General features: G+C 40.6%; 1 annotated feature.

The window, feature by feature from the left end:
* Positions 1,143-2,342: an enhancer, noted in NCBI's record as "CDK7 strongly-dependent group 2 enhancer chr11:27340270-27341469 (GRCh37/hg19 assembly coordinates)". NCBI's record gives its function as "activates an origin of replication core promoter dependent on BRD2, BRD4, P300/CBP, MED14 and CDK7 cofactors, with strong dependence on CDK7, by STARR-seq in HCT116 cells {active_cell/tissue: HCT116}" and the evidence as "EXISTENCE:reporter gene assay evidence [ECO:0000049][PMID:35650434]".

Here is an 18,081-nt window from a genome sequence, read left to right on the forward strand (position 1 = left end):
CCCCAGCAAGTTTTGGTATCTGACAGTGGAACTGTAAGTACTAATGTGGGAAAACATGGAGAGGTTCGAGGATATTTGGGGTGGTGGTAGAGTGAGCCACGAGAAATCGCATGTAAAATTGTATGCGTATGTGTGCTGATGTGCATTTTTCTGAGAACAGCGTCATTAGGGTTCATCAGATTATCAAAAGGTCCTGAGTCCCAAAAAATTTCAGGAACTACTTCAGTTTAGGTTATGGCCGAGGCCTTGGGGTCTCCATAAATTTACAAGTCTGATTCCTTAGAGGTTCAGATTATCCCCCAGTGGATGATCCCTCCCAGAGGATGAGTCACAGCAGAGAGTCACTTTGCAAGAACACGTGCTGTCTGAGCCTCCCCTGGAGTACTGGCCTCACAGGCAATCCCTGCTTTATAAAACACCCCTTTCTCTGATTTTTGTGACACTACACTGATTCCCTTTTGCAAATCTTCTGTCTTCTTAACTGGCATCTCTTAATTTCTTCATGTTTCCTGAAGGCAGGTGTTGTTTAATGATCAGTCTTCTGTGTTTTGTTCTTTTCTTCCTATACTCTCTCCTTTAGAAGCTTCACATACTTTTTCTATTAATTTCTCCAGCATGTACTATAATTTCATATTCTAAAATATGCTGGGATATTTCCATTTGGATAGACAGCACTATCTTAAAATTCATTAATTATAAAAAAATCAACTTTGGTGATTGAACAAAATTCCTTTTAAAAGTCCTTTCCAATATTGATGTTTTATGATTCTAGCTTCTGTTAATCACAATGCCCTTCTCTGAATTACTTAGCTTCAAAACCTCAGAGTAAATAAAACCAAAGTATTATAAAATTTTTAAATCTGGAGAACTTAGAGAAAAACAAATCTAGACCCATTACAACAGCTAATTATAGAACAACATAGCAAGATTAATGAGAAAAATACAAAGAGACCTTGATAAAAAAGGGTCCTCAACCCAGCTGGAGTATGGAGTCCAAGGCTTTATTAGAGGTAACCCCTGAATTGAGACTTATTGGTTACTTTCAAAATTTCAGGTTGCTTTAAGTGACAGCATTGAAGGGGAAAGTAAAAGGTAAGACATTCCATAAAGAGAAGATATAAGCAAAGGCCTAAAGGGCGGGAACAATATGGTTTATACTAGAAATGTTCAGAAGTTTGGAGTACATGAAGTAAAATAACAAGGTAAAAATTAGTATAATAAAAGATGAGATTAGGGAGACAGGGCTAGATCAAAAGGTGGTGCAGTGCTGTACTCCATTTTAAAGGTTGGGCCCTTAGTGGGCAAGAACATATCAGAATGGGGAGAAGGGGACAGAGAGAAAAAGAGGTGGTGGAAAGTATTTTTAAAGTTGCACAGATTAAGTCCTTCTCCATTATTCTTACACTGTCCCCCCAGGGGCAACATCCCCAAATAGGTTGAAAATCATCATGTACAATACTGAAGGACATAAGGACATGTATTATGCTGGTGAATGCTATGGAGGCAGGAAAAGAGAAAGGCTTGAGAAGCAATGCTGTATATGTGGGAGCCCTGGAAGAGATGAAAGCACAGCAGTGAAGTGACATGGTCAGATTTGCATTTCTGGGAGGTCACCAGGTTACTGTAGAGATGATAAATACGAGGGGGATAACATTAGAAGCATCGTGACAAACAGAAACTGGGTGAGTAATCCAAGTGAGAAATGACTAGGGCCTTGGTAGTAGGAATGCAGAGTCAGACTTGAAAAACATTAAAGGCAGTGGTTTCCAAACTTGTCTGCATGTCATTTGGGAGGTCTTCAAAGAAGCTTGTGATTTAATTGATCTGGGTGTGGCCTGGCCTTTGGAATTTTGCCCAGATTATTTTAATGTAGAGGGAATGACTAAGGGTATAAAATCAGTAGAAATCAGTTACTGATTAGATGCAGGTGAGAATGTGGGACAGGAATCAAGGATAAATGAAACCCCGGGTTTCTAACAAGGGTCACTTGGCAGAGTTGAACCAACAAACAAGTTACCAGGACCCCACATGGCTGCTGGTCCATGGTGGACATTCGATACATATCTGTTGAAGAGATGAGAAGATGACAGAGAGCAGGTTTTGGGAGAGAAGACAATAATTTTAGTGTCATATGCATTGAACTTGAGATATTGATGCTTCCTTCCTATCCCTTGGATCAGTTTCCAAACCCTCCTCCTCTACCCTAGTTCAGGCCCTTGTATCCTGATATTCAAGATGACTGTCCAAGGCTCCTCTGAATTAACCTCCAACTAGCTCCATGCTGCACACCAATGCCAGACTAATTTTCGTAAAATAGAGCTTTCATTGGGTCATTTCCCTACTCAAAAATCTTCAATCATATTTAACTACATGACTCCTTAGGCATTTAAAAACCTTAAAATTCATGGTTTTAATGTACTTTTCCATCTTATTTCCCACTCATACCCCATGAGATGCTGGTTATTTTTGTCTATTCATAGTTTCCCAAATACATCCTTTACTTCCCTGCCCCTTGAGCCCTTGGACACTCTCCCTCCAGCCTGCAAGCTCACTGTCTTCCTCTCTGCCAAGTCAAAATCTACCATCTTCCAGCATCCAATGTTGGTTCCTTGGGGCTTCCCTGACCACTCTTTAAGAAAGTAATTTCCTCCCCTTTTGAAGCCATGTGGCACTGTACATGAAAGCCCTCTGACATCTAGCATTCCCAAAGATTCTCTGAAACACATTCATTTTAGTAATCTGAAGAAGAAATGTGAATGTTTTGATCCACTTTCATGCCTGGAAATGCAAAAAAGGAAAACGCAGCCTGGCAGTGGCACACAAAGGTGGTGGTGGTAGAGGGTGGGTGGGTGGCAGTCTGCCCTGGCGGGATGGAATAACTGACATCCCTTAAGTTGCCAGCACATGGTGATCATAAAAAAGCAGACCACATTTTAGTTGGTTTTATTGTTTTTAAATTCTCTACAGATCAATTACCCCCTTATTGCCTGCTCTCAGGGCAGACCATTCATATTCTACCGTTACCCAGTATGCCACTGACGGCTGGGAGAACAGGACTGGGGCCCAATCTCTACCTTAGCTCCAGGTTGCAATTGAAAGTGCTTTTAAAATACTGTCAAGTATATCTCAAAGCAGCATTACATATTCCTTTTCAATAATTTTGTGACACCAAAACTTGAATATTCACTATATAGGAGATGAGACATAGGCTATTGGAAGTGTGGTGGTGTGGTATTTAAGTGTGGTGGCCATGAAAATGGGACTTTGAGATCTACTGTCAGAAACATCATTGCCCGAAGTCCCTAGATGCTGAGCTCTGAATCTATCACTGTGTTCCAGCTGAGGCCATCCCTCCCCTGTGTGCTCCCAGACAATGACTGAAGACAGTAGGGATTCTAAGGCTCATAACTACAAGAAGTAGACTCCTCTGATGGACAGTTTTGGTTGGAGGACTCCCACATCAGCCCTGCTGAACTGTTTTTAGAACTGCACTGCAATCTAAGACTTCCTACCCAACTTTTCTTCCTTCCCTCTCTCCTCCACAGGGATTAGAGTTATATCATGGCCTGATGGCTCTTCTGGCCTCCTCTGGCTCCCTCCCCATTTTCCCTCACAGACTATTACCCAGATAATCTCTTGCATGACTAATACTGTCTTACTGTTTCTCAGAGGATCCAATATAACACACTAAGGTTTTAACTGTTTTAAAATTAATTTTAATGAAGCAGGGCAGAGCATCGCCTCACCTGGGAAGTGCAAGGTGTCGGGGGATTTCCTTTTCCTAGCCAAGGGAAGCTGTGAAAGACTGGAAAAACGGGACAATCCCGCCCAAATAGTGCACTTTTCATGAGGTCTTAGCGACTGGCAGACAAGGCGATTCTCTCCCGTGCCTGGCTTGGTGGGTCCCATGCCCACGGAGCCTTGCTCACTGCTAGTGCAGCAGTCTGAGATCAAACTGCAAGGTGGCAGCCTGGCTGGGGGAGGGGCGTTACCATTGCTGAGGCTTGAGTAGGTAAACAAAGCAGCCAGGAAGCTTGAACTGGGCAGAGCCCACTGCAGTTCAGCAAGGCCTACTATCTCTATAGACTCCACCTCTGTACGCAGGGCATAGCGGAACAACAGGCAGCAGACAACTTCTGCAGACTTAAATGTCCCTGTCTGACAGCTCTGAAAAGAGCAATGGTTCTCCCAGCACAGTGTTTGAGCTCTGAGAATGGACAGACTGCCTCCTCAAGTGGGTCCCTGACCCCCGTTTAGCCTAACTGGGAGACACCTCTCAATAGGGTCCGACAGATACCTCATATAGGGGGGTACCCCTCTGGGACAAAGATTCCAGAGGAAGGATCAGGCAGCAATATTTGCTGTTTGGCAATGTTTGCTATTCTGCAGCCTCCGCTGGTGATACCCAGGCAAAAAGGATCTGGAGTGGACCTCCAGCAAACTCCAACAGACGTGCAGCTGAGAGACCTGACTGTTAGAAGGAAAACTAACAAACAGAAAGGAATAGCATCAACATCAACAAAAAGGACATCTACACCAAAACCCCATCTGTAGGTCACCAACATCAAAGACAAAAGGTAGATAAAACCACAAAGATGGGGAGAAACCAGAGCAGAAAAGCTAAAAATTCTAAAAACCAGAGCACCTCTTCTCCTCTAAAGGATCGCAGCTCCTCGCCAGAAACGGAACAAAGCTGGATGGAGAATGACTTTGATGAGTTGACAGAAGTAGGCTTCAGAAGGACAGTAATAACAAACTTCTGTGAGCTAAAGGAGAATGTTCAAACCCATTGCAAAGAAGGTAAAAACTGTGAAAAAAGGTTAGATGAATGGCTAACTAGAATAAACAGTGTAGAGAAGACCTTAAATGACCTGATGGAGCTGAAAACTATGGCATGAGAACTTTGTGATGCATGCACAAGCTTCAATAGCTGATTCAATCAAGTGGAAGAAAGGATATCAGTGATTGAAGATCAAATTAATGAAATAAAGTGAGAAGACAAGGTTAGAGAAAAAAAGGTAAAAAGAAATGAACAAAGCCTCCATGAAATATGGGACTAGGCCGGGAGCGGTGGCTCACGCCTGTAACCCCAGCACTTTGGGAGGCCGAGGCGGGTGGATCACGAGATCAGGAGATCGAGACCACGGAGAAACCCCGTCTCTACTAAAAATACAAAAAATTAGCCAGGCACGGTGGCGGGCGCCTGTAGTCCCAGCTACTCTGGAGGCTGAGGCAGGAGAATGGTGTGAACCTGGGAGGCGGAGCTTGCAGTGAGCTGAGATGGCGCCACTGCACTCCAGCCTGGGTGACAGAGCAAGACTCCGTCTCAAAAAAAAAAAAAAAAAAGAAAAAAGAAATATGGGACTATGTGAAAAAACCAAATCTACGTTTGATTGGTTTACCTGAAATTGATGGGGAGAATGGAACCAAGTTGGAAAACACTCTTCAGGATATTATCCAGGAGAACTTCCCTAACCTGGCAAGGCAGGCCAACATTCAAATTCAGGAAATACAAAGACCACCACAAAGATACTCCTCGAGAAGAGCAACACCAAGATACATAATTGTCAGATTCACCAAGGTTGAAATGAAGGAAAAAAATGTTAAGGGCAGCCACAGAAAAAGGTTGGGTTACCCACAAAGGGAAGCCCATCAGACTAACAGTGGATCTCTCAGCAGAAACCCTACAAACCAGAAGAGAGTGGGGGCCAATATTCAACATTCTTAAAGAAAAGAATTTTCAACCCAGAATTTCATATCCAGCCAAACTAAACTTCATAAGTGAAGGAGAAATAAAATCCTTTACAAACAAGGAAATGTTAAGAGATTGTATCACCAGCAGGCCTGCCTTACAAGAGCTCCTGAAGGGAGCACTGAACATGGAAAGAAACAACCCGTACCAGCCACTGCAAAAACATGCCAAATTGTAAAGACCATTGATGCTATGAAGAAACTGCATCAATTAACGGGCAAAATAACCAGCTAACACTATAATGACAAGATCATATTCACACACAACAGTATTAACTTTAAATGGAAATGGGCTAAATGCCCCAATTAAAAGACACAGACTGGCAAGTTGGATAAAGAGTCAAGACCCATCAGTGTGCTGTATTCAGCAGACTCATCTCACATGCAGAGACACAAATAGGCTCAAAATAAAGGGATGGAAGAAGATCTACCAAGCAAATGGAAAGCAAAAAAGAGCAGAATTTGCAATCCTACTCTCTGCTAAAACAGACTTTAAACCAACAAAGATCAAAAGAGATAAAGAAGGCCATTACATAATCATAAAGGGATCAATTCAACAAGAAGAGCTAACTATCCGAAATATATATGCACCCAATACAGGAGCACCCAGATTCATAAAGTAAGTCCTTAGAGATCTACAAAGAGACTTAGACTCCCCCACAATAATAATGGAACACTTTAATACCCCACTGTCAATATTAGACAGATCAGTGAAACAGAAGGTTAACAAGGATATCCAGGACTTGAACTCAGCTCTGCACCAAGAGGACCTAATGCACCAGAACTCTCTACCCCAAATCAACAGAATATACATTCTTCTCAGCACCACATTGCACTTATTCTAAAATTGACCACTTAATTGGAAGTAAAGCACTCCTCAGCAAATGTAAAATAGAAATCACAACAAACTGTCTCTCAGACCACAGTGCAATCAAATTAGAACTCAGGATTAAGAAACTGACTCAAAACCACACAACTACATGGAAACTGAACAACCTGCTCTTGAATGACTACTGGGTAAATAATGAAATGAAGGCAGAAATAAAGATGTTCTTTGAAACCAATGAGAACAAAGACACAATGTACCAGAATCTCTGGGACACATTTAAAGCAGTGTGTACAGGGAAATTTATAGCACTAAATGCCCACAAGAGAAAGCAGGAAAGATCTAAAATTGACACCCTAACATCACAATTAAAAGAACTAGAGAAGCAAGAGCAAACAAATTCAAAAACCAGCAGAAGGCAAGAAATAACTAAGACGAGAGCAGAACTGAAAGAGATAGAGACACAAAAAACCCTTCAAGAAATCAATGAATCCAGGAGCTGGTTTTTGAAAAGATAAACAAAATTGATAGACTGCTAGTAAGACTAATAAAGATGAAAAGAGAGAAGAATCAAATAGATGCAATAAAAAATGATAAAGGGGATATCACCACTGATCCCACAGAAATACAAACCACCATCAGAGAATACTATAAACGCCTCTACGCAAATAAACTAGAAAATCTAGAAGAAATAGATAAATTCCTGGACACATACACCCTCCCAACACTAAACCAGGAAGAAGTTGAATCTCTGAATAGACCAATAACAGGCTGTGAAATTGAGGCAATAATTAATAGCCTACCAACCAAAAAAAAAGCCCAGGACTAGATGGATTCACAGTCGAATTCTACCAGAGGTACAAAGAGGAGCTGGTACCATTCCTTCTGAAACTATTCCAAACAATAGAAAAAGAGGGAATCCTCCCTAATTCATTTTATGAGGCTAGCATCATCCTGATACCAAAGCCTGGCAAAGACACAACAAAAAAAGAGAATTTTAGACCAATGTCCCTGATGAACATCGATATAAAAATCCTCAGTAAAATACTGGCAAGCCGAATCCAGCAGCACATCAAAAACCTTATCCACCACGATCAAGTTGGCTTCATCTCTGGGATGCAAGGCTTGCTCAACATTTGCAAATCAATAAACGTAATCCATCACATAAACAGAACCAATGACAAAAATCACATGATTATCTCAATAGATGCAGAAAAGGCCTTTGACAAAATTCAACAGCCCTTCATGCTAAAAACTCTCAATAAACTAGATATCGATGGAATGTATCTCAAAATAATAAGAGCTATTTATGACAAACCCACAGCCAATATACTGAACAGGCAAAAACGGGAAGCATTCCCTTCGAAAACTGGCACAAGACAAGGACGCCCTCTCTCACCACTCCTATTCAACATAGTGTTGGAAGTTCTGGCCAGGGCAATCAGTCAAGAGAAAGAAATAAAGGGTATTCAATTAGGAAATGAGGAAGTCAAATTGTCCCTGTTTGCAGATGACATGATTGTATATTTAGAAAACCCTGTCATCTCAGCCCAAAATCTCAGGCTGATAAGCAACTTCAGCAAAGTCTCAGGATACAAAATCAACGTGCAAAAATCACAAGCATTCTTATACACCAATAACAGACAAACAGAGAGCCAAATCATGAGTAAACTCCCATTCACAATTGCTTCAAAGAGAATAAAATACCTAGGAATAAAACTTACAAGGGATGTAAAGGGCCTTTTCAAGGAGAACTACAAACCACTGCTCAATGAAATAAAAGAGGACACAAACAAACGGAAGAACATTCCATGCTCATGCATAGGAAGAATCAATATCGTGAAAAAGGCCATACTGCCCAAGGTAATTTATAGATTCAATGCCATCTCCATCAAGCTACAAATGACTTTCTTCACAGAATTGGAAAAAACTACTTTAAAGTTCACATAGAACCAAAAAAGAGCCCGCATTGCCAAGACAATCCTAAGCCAAAAGAACAAAGCTGGAGGCATCACACTACCTGACTTCAAATTATATTACTAAGCTACAGTAACCAAAACAGCATGGTACTGGTACCAAAACAGATATAGACCAATGGAACAGAACAGAGCCCTCAGAAATAACACATCTACAACCATCTGATCTTTGACAAACCTGACAAAAACAAGAAATGGGGAAAGGATTCCCTATTTAATAAATGGTGCTGGGAAAACTGGTTAGCCATATGCAGAAAACTGAAACTGCTGAAACTGGACCCCTTCTTTACACCTTATACAAAAATTAACTCAAGATGGATTAAAGACTTAAACATAAGACCTAAAACAATAAAAACCCTAGAAGAAAACCTAGGCAATGCCATTCAGGCCATAGGCATGGGCAAGGACTTCATGACTAAAACACCAAAAGCAACGGCAACAAAAGCCAAAATAGACAAATGGGATCTAATTAAACTAAAGTGCTTCTGCACAGCAAAAGAAACCACCATCAGAGTGAACAGGCAACCTACAGAATGGGAGAAAATTTTTGCAATCTACCCATCTGAAGAAGGGCTAATGTCCAGAATCTACAAAGAACTCAAATTTACAAGAAAAAAACAAACAATCCTATCAAAAAGTGAGCAAAGGATATGAACAGACAATTCTCAAAAGAAGACATTTATGCAGCCAACGGAGACATGAAAAAACGCTCATCATCACTGGTCATCAGAGAAATGCAAATCAAAACCACAATGAGATACCATCTCATGCCAGTTAGAATGGCAATCATTAAAAAGTCAGGAAACAACAGATGCTGGAGAGGATGTAGAGAAATAGAAACACTTTTATACTGTTGGTGGGAGTATAAATTAGTTCAACCATTCTGGAAGACAGTGTGGTGATTCCTCAAGGATCTAGAACTAGAAATACCATTTGACCCAGCCATCCCATTACTGGGTTTATACCCAAAGGATTATAAATCATGCTACTATAAAGACACATCCACATGTATGTTTATTGCGACACTATTCACAATAGCAAAGACTTGGAACCAACCCAAATGTCCATCAGTGATAGACTGGATTAAGAAAATGTGGCACATATACACCATGGAATACTATGCAGCCATAAAAAAGGATGAGTTCATGTCCTTTGCAGGGACATGGATGAAGCTGGAAACCATCGTTCTCAGCAAACTATCACAAGGACAGAAAACCAAACACTGCATGTTCTCACTCATAGGTGGGAATTGAACAATGAGAACACTTGGACACAGGGTGGGGAACATCACACACCAGGGCCTGTTGTAGGGTTGGGGGCTGGGAGAGGGATAGCATTAGGAGAAATACCTAATGTAAATGACGAGTTGCTGGGTGCAGCAAACCAACATGGCACATGTATACCTATGTATCAAACCTGCACATTGTACCCTAGAACTTAAAGTATAATTTAAAAAAAAGAAAAAAAAAGCATCAAATTTAATTAGGCAAATCAATCTAGCCAGAGAAAACCAACATATGTCTAGAGTTCCCTTACAGAATTCATTTGGAAGATTTCTGCAAAATCACAACAAAGAAACTGATTGCATTAAAGCTTCTAAATCCCATAAAGCATCACGTATTGGAAAATGTGTAACATCACATAATTTGTCAGTAGGCATATGCTACTGCTGTTATTAACAAGTACACAAAATGATTTATTAAGCATCTTCTATGTGTCAAATATTGTATGAGGTACTTTACATGGTTTGTTAATCTTTGCAATCACCTTATGAAGCAAGTATTATTAAGCGCATTTTTTAGAAGAGTAAACTGTGCCTTAGAGAGGTTAAGAGACTTGTCTAAGTTCCCACAGCGTAGGTAGTAGATCATGTATTTTGTTTGTTTTTTGAGACGGAGTTTCACTCTTGCTGCCTAGGCTGGAGTGCAGTGGCACGATCTCGGCTCACTGCAACCTCCAGCTCCAGGGTTCAAGTGATTCTCCTGCCTCAGCCCCTCAAGTAGCTGGGATTATAGGCGCCCGCCACCACTGCCAGCTAATTTTTGTATTTTTAGTAGAGATGGGGTTTCATCATGTTGGTCAGGCTGGTCTCGAACTCCTGATCTCAGGTGATCCACCGGGCTCGGCCTCCCAAAGTGCTGGGATTACAGGCATGAGGCACTGTGCCTGGCTCAGACCATGTTTTTAACCTCAGGTGAGTCCCTACAGCTCTCTTGAGCCAGGGTGCCTCTCAGCAGAAACTGGGCTTGGCCCAGAGGAAGGCTTCCTGAAGTCAGTTGTTTATGAACCACCCACTCTTTCAAGATGGGAATGACATTGTCCTCACCACCTTTACTAGAGATAAGCAGTGACCAATGTTCACATACTAAAAACACAAAAAATGAACCACACAAAATAGAATTTTTAGGATAGAAACGGGCCTTTGACATCAGCCTAACATCTTCATTGAACCAATAAACCGGTGAGCATTTCCTCTATTTTATTGAGAGATATCTTTCAAGACTTACCTTTTAGATTTACCTATGTAAGCACTTTGCATCTCAGCCTATACAAAGGGAAGAAAACTCTTGGCCCAGGGAGAGGGAGTTGCAGACTGGTATGTACTGGATGGTTGTTTTGGTAAATTTTTCCAACTAAGAACACATTCCACTCCCACGCCACCCTGTGCTGCCACCACCAGAGAAACAATGATAGTTTCCATCTCCAGCTGCCCCTCAGGTGGTTCCCAGGGACATGAAACAAGGAGGAAGGGAGAGGCTCTTTCTTTTTCCAAGGTCATACGCGCATTCTATCAGCTAAGAGCCCAGGAACGAGAAAAGGGAGAGGTGGCTCTGTTGTTTCTAGCAAAGGAAAGGGTAGTGTTCCCTCTGACTTCTGCGCATAAGGCATAGCTTTCTCCCAAATGACAGATAATTGAATATTTTCCCTTCTCAATTTTAAAAGGTAATTCAAGATACAATTGCCCTTTCTGAAAAATTTGCTCTCTTAGGCAGACTGCCATTATCAATAGTAGTAGGTAAATATTCACTGTAAAGTAACTGTGTTTTTTCCCTCAAGCCAACATATGAATTTAATTTATGATATTAATGACCACGGCAAATACATGAATATCATTTACTATATTTTTTTTGGAGAAAGAAAAATTAGTTTTTTGTCATAAAGTGTATTACTATTTTTTTTTTTTTAGAGCTTGAGAAAACACTCTTTTTTTCCTTTTCAGCTTTTATTTTAGACCCAGGGTACATGGGCAGGTTTGCTACCTGGATATATTGCATGATGCTGAGGTTTGGGGTATGAATGACCCCCACCCGCCCACCGAGGTACCGAGCATAGTAACCAACATTTAATTTTTCAACTCTTGTCCCTCTCCCTCCCTTCCCCCTCTAGTCATCCCCAGTGTCTACTGTTCCCATCTTTATGTCCATGAGCACTCAATGTTTAGCTCCCACTTATAAGTGAGAACACGCAGTATTTGGTTTTCTGTTCCTGTATTAATTCACTTAAGATAATGGCCTCCAGCTTCATCCATGTTGCTGCATAGGACATGACTTTGTTCATTTTTATGGTTGTGTAGTATTACATGGTGTATATGTACCACATCTTCTTTATCCAATCCACTGCTGATGGGCACCTAGGTTGATTCCATGTCTTTGCTATTGTGAATAGTGCTGTGATGAACATATACACATGCATGTGTCTTTTTGGTAGAACAATTTGTTTTCTTTTGGGTATATGTCCAGTAATGGGATTGCTGGTTCAAACGGTAGTTTGCCTTAAGTTCTTTGAGAAATCTCCAAGCTACTTTCCACAATGGCTGAACTAATTTACATTCCCACCAACGTGTATAAGCATTCCCTTTGCTCCACAGCCTCACCAACACCTGTTGTTTTCTGACTTTTTAATAATAACCATTCTGACTGGTGTGAGAATGGTATCTCATTGTGGTTTTGATTTGCGTTTCTCTGATGATTAGTCATGATGAGCATTTTTCATGTTTCTTGGCCACTTGTACGTCTTGTTTTGAGAAGTGTCTGTTCATAACCTTTGCTCACCTTTTAATTTTTTTTTTTTTTTTTTTTTGCTCATTCAATTGTTTCAGTTACTTACAGATTCTGGATATTAGACCTTTGTTGGATGCACAATTTGCAAATATTCTCTCCCATTCTGTAGGTTGTCTATTTACTCTGTTGATAGTTTCATTTGCTGTGCAGAAGCTCTTTAGTTTAATTAGGTCCCATCTGTCAATTTTTGTTTTTGTTGCAATTGTTTTTGAGGACTTAGTCATAAATTCTTTCTCAACATTGATATCCAGAATGGTGTTTCTGAGGTTTTCTTCTAGGATTGTTATAGTTTGAGGTATTACATTTAAATCACAGTGTAATTTGTTAGTGTAACATAACTACTGTATTCTTGATTCACCTAGGCCTTAGGTATCATAATAAGCAAGTCCATGAAAGAATAAGCTTTGAATTGCTAATTAGATCATTAGCAATTTATTTTCAAAATAAGAAGCCCCATCTTTATTACTCTGAGGCCACAGATGGCCTATGTTTGTCATCAAACCTCAAAGTATATTTTCCCATAGAATGTTAAATATTTTCTTTACAAATGACCAGGATTTTAGAAATTTCCTTTGTAACTTTGTAGTAATGTGTCAATATATACAAGCATCTGAAAGTCCCTTTGATGTTCAAAAGCTGTCATATCACCTATCCTTGGAATCTGAAAGAAAGAAAGGTTACATAGGGAACCACCAGTGTTCTAAGTCCATTCCTTACTCTCCAGCCTCCAAAATTATTAAATTCTAAGTTTTGTTTATTCGGGTGCCTCAAGCCTGAGTCTCAGCTTAATCACTTTGTCCCAGAAGCTTTTCCTGACTCCAACAAAGGTTAGCTACCTCCTCATATGCCCTCACAGCTTGTGCTTTAAGGTAAGTATGGCTTTAACTGTAATCTCTGCTAGAATGTAAATGCTAACAGATTCAGGATTAGTTCAGTCTTGTTTACCACTAGAATCCCCAGATTCTAGCATAGTGCTAGGAATTCAATACATACTAGAATGCCTTGCTCATTCTACCTGACTGCTTGCACAGCATTTGATATTCTAGAAGACCTTCTACTTCCCCTTCCTGAAAGCTCCCCTCTCTCACTGTGGCACACTTTCCTCTTTTGCACCTCCCACCATTTTCACTGGTCTTCCAGTGGCTTCTTTCCTTCTGCCTTACCTTTATACTCAACCTCTACATTCCATCCTAGTCTATCTTTTCTGGGCCAAATATGGCAGGCACTTAATATGGGTGGAATGAAGGAATAAAAGAATGTCATGCTTCAGACTCTTCTTGAGAAATGCTATTCACCTCCATAGTTTCAATGATTATGTTAAACTAATAAGGTCTAAATATTCCCAAAACTACACTTCTCATCTGGGCAACAAACCTTTATCTGTAACACCCCCTTATGTCAATATGTTCATAACTAAATTCAGGATGTCCAATTAAACATAGCAGATTAATCATACAGAATTATCTCCTTTCCCACTCCAATCTCTGCTAAGATGATGGCAAAGGAATTTCTTTTAAGAAAAAATGTACAAATCCACAAGGGCAAACAGAAGAGAATACAATGGTTAACCACAGATTCCTACAAATTTTGGGATGGTGCAGAGAGGATAGAGGTGAAACAACTGACTTAGGAGAGTACTGGAGTTAGGACAGTATGGATGTAGTGTTTTTCCTCATCTTTAAGGACATTAATGATAGTTGCAATTTTTTTTCTTCTTTCTTAATTGGCTCTGTTTCCTCTGAGTGCCTTTTTTTTTTCTTTTTCTCTTTTACTGTTTAAAGGTTTCTAAATGCTGAAATAAATACAACAACAACAACAAAAATTCAGCCTGCAGAATCCTGGAAGGGCTCAGCATAGGGGAACACTAGCTACTAAGGAGAATGAAGCTTATACACTAACTAGCTAGACTGAAAACACAGGAAGTGACAGTTTACCAAGAAATGAACTGTGATATACAGAACTACATTCCCAGGTCCTACTCCGGAATGCTGGCAGCTAGGCTTATATCTCTCCGGAAGATTAGAAGATCCTTCTCTGAGAAAATGAACAGCCTAAGGGGGAAAGACTTCCAGGTATTTGGAAGTCTACCCACAACAATAAAAAATCCACCATCAACAAGCCCTACCTATGCCCACATAGCTTCTATTCAGCCTTTTAATGCCCTATTCTTAAATAGGAACAGACAGGAATTCATATAACAAATATAAATGTCAGACAAGGATTAAAAAACGTTTGAGGAAAACCTCTAATAAAACCTCAGAAAAAGAGAAAATGAAGAAAAAAAGGCATCTGGAAGAAACAGAGCCAATTAAGAAAAAAAACTGCAACTAATGTCCTTAGAGATGAAAAAAGATATTGCATCCATAAAATAAGTATAGGAGGCTATGAAAAAGGAATAAACAGAAAAGAATGTTTGGAATTTAAAATAAGGTAGCCATAAAAAAATTATTCAAGAATTGGAAAATAACATCAAGGACTTCTCACAGAAAGTGGTCTCCCTCACCAGGGTAGGGGGAAAAAAGTAAGACAGGAGAAAAATATTTCCTTTTAAATTATTAGAGAATTAATTCAGGAAGACCAGTAATTGCCTAACAGGATTCTAGAAAAAAGGGACCAGAGAATATTATGAGAGGAAATTATCAAATAAATAATACAATAAAATATCCCCTTGGGAGCAAGACTGTGAGGCAGTGAGAAGTAAGCAAAACGCTCCTGTTTTCCATCAAACAACATTTAGTACTATTTGAATTTTAAACTATGTGCATATATTACTTTGATAAACAATTTGAAAGGGGAAAAAAAAAACCCTCAGTTTCTCACCCCCAAAGCTGTCATTCCTTTCTGTATTCCCTTTCTCTGCTAATATTATCATCACCCGTCAGCTCCAAAGCAGCCCTTTAAGTTCTACTTTTTTTTTTTTTGAGACAAGGTCTCGCTCGTCACCCAGATTGGAGTGCAGTGGCATGATCACAGTTCACTGCAGCTTTGACTTCCTGAGCTCAAACGATCCCCCCACTTCAGCCTCTTGAGTAGCTGAAACTATAGGCACAAGCCTCCATGCCAAGCTAATTTTTTAATGTTTTGTAGAGATGGGGTCTCCCTATGTTGTCCAGGCTGGTCTTAAACTCCTGGGCTCAACTCCTGGGCTCAAGTGATCCTCCCACCTCGGCCTCCCAAAGTGTTGGGATTATAGGCATGAGCCACCACACCTGGCCTAAGTTCTACTTCTGATGGATCTTTCACACATTTCTTCTCTTCAACCCTACTACCCTCATTGGATCCTCAATCACCTCTTCCTGGAATGTTCCATAATGTCATTACTGGTGGCTCTGTCTTTGGTCTCTGTCCCTCAAAACCATCTTGCTACGGCCATGCTTTAAACGTTTTTCATGCCTGCAATGGACTCCTGAGAAGTTTTTTAACCGTTTGTAGCCTCCAACCTCCAGGGGCTTGGAGTTGGTAGGTAGGAAGGTGTTTTCTCTACCCATCCTGTTCCCCATTGGCACCTCCAAACCACTTCATCTCCTTCCTCCTTCAAAACTTCCTACTCTTCTGAAGATTATTCCATCTGACCACATTAGCCAATATTACTCCTTTTGACTGTCATCTGGCTAGCCAGTTACCCTGGTTTGCTGAAATTCTAGCACCCAGCTTGCCATCTTCCTCTCTACCACAACTTCTATCATAATCTTGGCAATTTCAATATCCACATTAAAAAGTTACTTCCATACTTTTTGTTTTTTTAGAGCAGGGTCTCACTGCATTGCCAGGGTGGAGTGCCATGGCTATTCATAGGTGCACTCACAGTGCATGGAAACTCCAGCTCCTGGCCTCAAGTGATCCTCCTGCCTCAGCCTCCTGAGTAGCTGGGACTGTAAGTGCAGGCCACTGCACCTGGCTCTGGCCTCTAACATTCTTAATTTCTTCAACTTTGTTGTTATGTTCCATCTGGGCCACTGACTGCCATGGCCATACTCTGGTTCTTGTCATCAACATCCTGACCAAAAGCCCCTATCTCTCTAGCTTCCCTCAAGCACCCCCCACTCAACCTCAAAACAGCACGGGAAATCTACGAAGACCCCTTCCTCACCACCTGTGTTAAGTAATATGTTTCAGTACCATAATCACTCCCTTGAAAACACTTTAACTGCTTTGTTCCTTTTTCCCTCCATCCTACTTGCCCACTTGTCCAGCTCCAATTATAAGTGATTCTGGGTCTACATCTAACTAGCTAAATTTTCTCCAGAAATAAAGAGAAACATAACAGAACTTCACTAATTGGTCTTTATGCCCAAAAATATCAAATGGCAAACAACATTGCCCATCAGTCTCGCTAATCTCTCTGGCAAATTTCTTTCTCCAAAATGCTTACTTTTCTATTAACCTTTTCCTTTTCCTCAAACTTGGAACATCCTATTCTATCCCTCTGCTGATGACCTTGCCTTCCCTTCACACTTCACTGAGAAACAAGAAGTGATTTGACAAGAACTGCCTATCTTGTCTTCCTGCCACCAACATTATCAATCCAGCCAAATCAGAACCTGTATGTACAATTTGTTCTCCCTGTGAATAGAAGAAATTTCCTTGCTTCTATATAAACCAGCATTTTTGCTATTTAAGAACTGCATTCCTAAAATCACCCCTAATCTCTCCTAAATCTTCAGGTTCCCTTTCAATTGGATCATTACCAGCCTCAGAGAAGTATATTTAGTATCACCCAGCCTAAGCAAAACAAACAGAAAATGTCCTTGACCCTATGTTCTCTTCTAGCTCCTATCCCACTTTTTTTTCTTTTTTTTTTTTGAGACAGAGTTTTGCTCTGTTGCCCAGGCTGGAGTGCAGTGGTGTGATCTCAGCTCACTGCAACCTCCGCCTCCCGGGGTCAAGCAATTCTCCTGCCTCAACCTCCCAAGTAGCCTCCCAAGGAGCTGGGTGGCTCCTGCCACCACGCCCGGCTAATTTTTGTATTTTTAGTAGAGACGGGGTTTCGCCATGTTGGCCAGGCTGGTCTCAAACTCCTGACCTCAGATGATTCTCTCATCTCGGCCTCCCAAAGTGCTGGGATTACAGGCATGAGACACTGCGCCCGGCCCCTATCCCACTTTTCTTCTCTTCTTCACTATAAAACGTTTCCAGAATGTCTTTAGTTATAGGCTCTTTCTCACCTTCCATTCTCTCTCCAGCCTATTCGATTGTAGTTTTATACCTGTTTTTCTTATCATATATATTATATAGGAGAGGAAATACAGTTATTAAGTTTGGGCTTTGACCTCATGGGTTCTAATCCATGTTCTGTGATTTACTAGTTATAAAAGCAACGTAACTTCGTGCCTCAGTTTCCCCAACTTAAAATGAGGATAATAAAAGTAACTATCTCATAGGGCTGTTGTGAGGATTAAAATAGCACATATAAAAGCACAAGAATACCAGTCATATAGAAATTGTTCAAGACATGCTTGCCATTGTA

This window comes from Homo sapiens, chromosome 11, assembly GCF_000001405.40.
Source record: "Homo sapiens chromosome 11, GRCh38.p14 Primary Assembly".
NCBI lineage: Eukaryota > Metazoa > Chordata > Mammalia > Primates > Hominidae > Homo > Homo sapiens.